The sequence below is a fragment of the Homo sapiens genome, chromosome 4, assembly GCF_000001405.40.
Source record: "Homo sapiens chromosome 4, GRCh38.p14 Primary Assembly".
Classification (NCBI taxonomy): Eukaryota; Metazoa; Chordata; class Mammalia; order Primates; family Hominidae; genus Homo; species Homo sapiens.
In genome coordinates this window covers 90016726-90023583 of record NC_000004.12, presented here as the reverse complement: position 1 = coordinate 90023583, position 6858 = coordinate 90016726, and positions in this window count along the sequence as shown.

The following is a 6858-nucleotide window of genomic DNA, read 5'->3' as shown; positions in this document are numbered from 1 at the left end:
CTCAGGCCTTCAGCCACAGACTGAAGGCTGCACAATCGGCTTCCCTACTTTTGAGGTTTTGGGACTTGGAGTGACTTCCTTGCTACTCAGCTTGCAGACAGCCTGTTGTGGGATTTCACTTTACGATCATTTGAGTCAATTATCTTTAAACTCCCTTTCATAAATACCTCTGTCCCAATAGTCCTGTTCCTCTAGAGAACCATGACTAATACAGATGTTTTTAGAGAATGTGGGGTAAGGGAGACAAAATAGAAAAGAAGAAATCTTTTTTCAATGTGACTATGCTCTTTTTTCATCACAGTTTAGTCACTAGAATATCAAATACGCCCAGTCTCTCATTTTAAATAGGAATAATTGGAAATGCAAAGAGTTAAGTGATCTGGTTAAAGTTAAAAGTTAGCAAATATCAAAGCTGTAGAACCCATGTGTGAGTTATTTATATTATCCTTAATAAATTAACAAGCTTTTCTCCATTACTGTGGCTAGAATGATAGGATTGAAGACAAGGGAAGTTAATTCCAGTCTGTCTACCCTCTTATAAATAAAAGAAAACCCACAATGACTTAGCATTTATTTGACCATCAGTTTCTTATATTTTAATTTTAAAGTTATTTTTTTCATTTTCACTTCACTTGCATATTTTCTTAATGGCATTGGACATTTATTTTTGTTAGTTACAGCTATAGCTAATTTTTGAATGTTAGATGAATCTTCTAAGAGAAAATAGTGGAGTATATTTTACAGAGATATATTGAATTTCCTAAATGGCCACATTAAAAGTCATGCAGAGCAAAGAAGACAGTAACACTGATGTTCATTAGTAGATTTATTTATTAGTAGCCTAGCAGCTTTAACAGACATCCAATCCATTCAGATATTATGTTTATGTTTTCTTAGAAAAAAATTGAAACACTAATCTGCCAAAAAGTGATATTGAAGAGATACACAATGATTTTAATATATGTAGGAAGTATACGTATAATACAGAAAATATTCAGAACACAGAAGCATGCCAATTTTGTAAGTAAAAAGTCATAAAAGGCCATTTGCCAGATGGAAGGGTAGTGCAGCAAGATGTAAAAGTGTCTGAGGTAAGGAAATACAGCAAGAGACATGACACAGTTGATCAGAAAAAGGACCATAAAGATGAAGTTTAAGCTCTTATGAATATAACAAAAATAAGGTCAACTTGTACACCAAATTAAGGACATAGAAATTCAAGGGGTGACTGTTTAGTTATTAGGTGGCAAATGCATAAAAAAGAAAATTACAGATATAACAATTGGTATACATGTTCTTTGAGAATATGTTAGAAAGGGTGAAAGCCAAATTTGAAATAATGTGAAAAACCTGTTAATAGACAGAGGGTACCTAACCAAGGCACCATCAGATCATCAGAATTGCAGGCTATCCATGTCATTTGCAATGAGCCTTAAATTGTTGTAAACTTTAAGTAACATTGATGTAAAGGGAAGTAATGACTACTATGAGGGACCAAAAGCCAAAAACTCAGTTGTAATTCTTCCACTTATATATAGGGCTGAAGTCTCTAGAATATAGTTAGACTTCCTCTGAAGGATAAGGAGAGTTTTGGATGGAGTGAGATGCCCTCGTGGTACTATGCTTTATTTTCAGGAAGAGAAAACAGACAAGTCTTACTGCCACTGGAAATCTTGCTAGTGGCCTCCCTTATAGGGCTACTTCCAGTTTGCTGTGTGAAGGCAATGTGACTATGCTCTTTAACCTCACTTTGAATATCCAGGAAGTGCTCTGGGGTGAGTGGCAGTCCCATGCCATTATTAAGATAAAGAATTCTGGGGTTTTTTTGTTTTTTCATTTTTTTCCATTTTCTAGGTTATTTTGTTTTCCTATGAAATCTAGTGGTGCAGAGTAGTTAGTTATAATACTCGCTGATGCTTTGCATTTTCAAGCAAGGTAAGATTCTATAGTCAGAGGTGATTTTTAGTTTTTTAAAATTAAATAAGTTTTGTTTATTTTTTTGAGACAGAGGCTGGCTCTGTTGCCCAGGCTGGAGTGCAGTGAGTGGCTAACTGCAACCACTGCCTCCCTGGTTCAAGCAGTTCTCCTGCCTCAGCCTCCCGAGTAGCTGAGACTACAGGCACCTGCCACAATGCCTGGTTAATTTTTTGTATTTTGGCAGAGATGGGGTTTCACCATGTTGCCCAGGCTAGTCTCAAACTCCTGAACTCAGGCAATCTGCCTGCCTAGGGCCTCCCAAAGTGCTAGGATTACAGGCATGTGCCACTGCACCTGGCCTATTTTTTTTTTTTTTTTTGGTAAAATTAAGTTAATTTTATAGAGTAGCCATATGTAAAGAAAAATATCATGACCAGTTGTGTTCAGACAGATCTATGGTTATAATATACATTTTCTTAGTGGATAAATGTCCAAGGTATTGGAAAACTTTAGGACCGAAGTCCTGCAGATTTTGATCGACAGCATCAATTGTTTCTAAAACATCCTATATGCTCCTGCATTGTTCCACCATATTCCATGGACGGTTTTTCAAACAGACACTTGATCACACTTTCCATCTAGTCTAGCTCTATCTTGGTCCACACATCCACCCTGTGCCCTCCAGTAGCTGAGCATTTCTCTAATCCATACATTTAGCATTGTAGGTGAGAGGACAATCTCAGGATGATGTAACTGATTAACCCTGGTGGCACAGTGCCCATGATGCTCCTAAGCCTTCAAACTGTAATTTGAGGGTCTATTTCATGGCAATTCAAGAAAATGTTCCCTCTCTTGAGAAGAAACAAAATGGAGTTCATATTATAGTAAACTTTCTTCCATAATACTTTAACCAGGTATGTACTAAGTTATAAAATTATAATTAACCAATCCTGCAATGTACTTCTGCCACAGCATCTAGATTACCAATGACTTTTCCCAGTACATTCTTGAGGCTTTCCTATCAATAACTAAGGGATGAAGATAGGTGTGAAATGGAGAGAAAGTCTCATTCACCTATTTAGGTTAAGTGCCGTGCCTTGGCTTGATTTACAGTCTTATCAAGACCACACAAAATTGGGTCGTGACAATTTCCTAAAATGAATTTTGGCTGCTTTTGCCAGAAGAAGAGGGATTAGGAAGGTCTACAAAAACCTAAATGTCTGCACCTTCAGCTTCTGGCTACTGAACTTGAATCAATTCATTTTTTTCCCCTTGTCTCTTAGATGGTTTAAAATACCCACCTTCACAGTACACACACATCATTCTTTTCTAGAATTTTATCATATCCTCTTTGTATCAAAGGGATTCGGCTACAAAGATTTCTCTAAATAGCAAAGAATGGATTTATTTCAAGGATAAACCAGATAAAGTATTCTTCCCTCAAAATCAACATGCAACTAAGGATCTCTTCGTATTTTTGAGTTAAGTGAATATAAACTGTTGCTCCTCAAGAGATATTAGTGTGTAACAAGAATAGCTGTAGTGAATTTCTATTGGCTAATTAAAGTAATCTTTCATATAAGTGTGCATTTTTAATAACATCACCATTAAACATAAAAATGAGACAGGGTAGAAATCCTTTGATTGTGATTGATACTCTTAGAAAAAAGACGAGAATAAAATATATTTTATTTTAAACAACAGGACCTTCATCTTCAGGAAAAGCTGAGTGACAAAAATTAATATTCATTATAAGTAACTCTGAAAAGCGATCTGGACATCAGTTTACACACATCTGGAAGGAACTAAAGTCTAGTAATGAGAAATAATGCACTTGTGAAGCATACAATCAGATATAGATTAATACTACTTTACTGCATTTGTCAGGTCAGCACAAATAAATTATGAATCCTCTTAGAGAGCTGAGAAAAAGTGATTTCCTTTAAAATAGAAACTATTATTAATATGCTAATAATGTGTGACTGATGAAATCTATAATTCTAATCATATATGGAACAGTATAGGCTATATTTAGATGCTTAGTTAGTAGTTATATATTAAAATAGAAGGAATGATTTTTAAATGTTTGTTTCCAAAACAAATGATGATTTCCACTCACATTTAATGTCAATGAAATCTTGAGTTTATTCATAATAATCTGTGTATGAAGTATACATAAAAAACACATTTCATTTTTGAGGTTAAAATAATTTATATATTACTTTCAGATCAAAATACACAACAATAAGAAAAATAATTTTAAGAATAATCTGCAATTTATTTTGAACAAATCTGAATACTGGTTAAAAAATATTTCAAACTTTATTAGAAGTTTAAAATATCAGATTTAAATTATTTCAAACAAAAGATACTGCTACAAAACTCAGTGTGAAAGACTGTTGCTGGATTCATAAATGTAATGGAATTGCACTATTGAGCTACCTCATATTGAGAGTATTAAGAATATAAAATAATTACTGGTGTATTTATTTATTTTTATTCATTTATTTTTTAAGTACACCATTTCTGGTATATTTAAACTCATTTTCACTTCTCATAAATTGCCTCTAAAGAATGTATTTACAAAGCATTAAGGACCTGTGGACCTGCTTATCCAAAAAATGTCCACTAGGTTTATGAGACTGGACAGTTCACCATGCCAGTGGTAATGCATACAGAAATCTGGCTGGCTGAAAAATCTTACGAAAATCACTCAACTTCTCTGGTCTCATATTTCTGATTGGCAGAGCACTAGGATTTCTAAAAGTTCTATTTTAGCTGATATCTATAAAAGGAAGATGATGGGAGCATTGGTATGGCAAATGAGGATCAGAGATCTCTATAAATCATAAGTGGAGGATAAACAAACTTTGTAATGCTCTTCTTTATCCCAGTAACTCCTCTTGCTTTGAATTCTGCTGTCTAAGTTTAATATGGCCACTACTGCTTTCTTTGGGTTAGTGTTAACATAGTAAATTTTTCTCTGTCCAAAGTGAGTTTCTTGTAGACAACATATAGCTGAGTTTTATTTTTTGATACACTCTGACAATCTCTGTCTTTTAATTGGTATATTTAGGCCATTTATATTTAAAATAAATATCTACCATATTTGTTATTGTTTTTAATTTGTTCCCCTTGTTCTTTGTTCCTATTTTTGTCTTCTGCTCCTTTCTGCCTTTTGTGGTTTGGGGTATTTTATATGATTTTATTTTCTTTCTGTTCTTAGCATATCAGTTATACTTCTTTTTTTCCCCCGTTTCTTCCCGAGAACTTGCAACATACATTTACAACTAATTTAAGCCCACTTTCAAATAATATTTTACCACTTAATGGGTAATGTGAGAACCATATAATAACAAGACAATCCTAATTCTCCCTCTTGTCCCTTGTATCATTACTGGCATTCATTGCACTTACATATAAGCATACATATGCAGATGTACTAAAATACATTGCTGCCATTATTATTTTGAACACACTGTCGTCTGTTAGATCAATTAAGAATAAGAAAAATAAGTTTTTATTTTACCTTCACTTATTCTATCTTTGGTGCTATTCCTTTCTTTATATAGATCTGAGTTTTTATCTATATTATTGTTTTTCTCTCTAAGAGACATTTCTTTTAACATATCTTGTAAAGCAGATCTGCTAGAAAGACATTCCCTCAATTTTTATTTGTCTGAGAAACTATTTCTCCTTCACTTCTAAAGGATAATTTTGCAGAGTATGGAATTCTAGGTTGGTTCTGTCCTCAATGTTTTAAATATTTTATTCCTCCTGTTATTGCTTGCATGGTTTCCGAAGAGAAGTTGGATTAATTCTTATCTTCATTCACCTAGAGATGAGTCTATAGGTAAGATGTTTCTTCCCTCTGATTCTTTCAGGACTTTTTCTTTATTTTTGATTTTATGTAATTTGCAAATGATATGCCTAGGTTTTTGCAAATGTTATGCCTAGATTTTTCGTTTTGTTTTTCTTTTTTCTTCTTCTTCTTCATTATCCCACCTGGTGTCCTTTGAGCTTTCTGGATCTGTGGGTTGGCGTCTGACATTAATTTGAAGGAAATTCTTGGTCATTACTGTTACAAATATTTCTTCTGTTCCTTTTTATTTGTCTTCTTCTTTTTCATCTTTGTTACCTTTGTTGCCTTTCGGCTTTGCAAATTTCTATTGAGTTATGCTTAAGGTCAGAGGTTCTTTTCTCGACTATGTTCATTCTACTGATAAGCTCACCAAAAGCATTTCTGTTACAGCACTTTTAATCTCCAGCATTTCTTTTTTCGGTTCTTTCTCAGGATTTATTTATTTTTGCTTACATTTCTCATCTGTTCTTGAATGCTATCCACTTTATTCATTAGAGCTCTTAGCATATTAATCACCATTATTTTTAATTCCTGGTCTGATCATTTCAACATCCCTGACATGTCTGGTTCTAGTGCTGGCTCTGTCACTTCAACCTGTATTTTTTGTCTTTGGTATGCCTTGTAATTTCCAGACATGATGTACTAGGTAAAAAGAACTGCCCTAAATAGCCTTTAATAATGTGGTAGTGAGGTTTAGTGGCGGGGGAAGCTTTTTATCTATGGTTAGGATGGAGTGGTAACTTCTAAGCCCCTTACATGCAGAACCAGAAACCAGATGTCTGAAAAAATTTTTTGTGTGTCTATTAGTTTGCCAGAGCTGCTATAACATAACACCACTGACTGGGTAGCTTTAACAACAGACATTTGTTTTCTCACAGCTCTGGAGGCTATAAGGCCAAGATCAAGGTGTCAGTAGGTTTGGGTTTTTTCTGAAGCCTCTTGTTGGCTTGGAGATGATGTCTTCTTCTTATGTCTTCACATGGTTGTCCTCATTCTGTATGATCTGTGTCCAAATCTCCTCTTCTTATAAGGACATAATTCATATTGGAAAATGGCCCACCTATAAAACCTCATTTTAC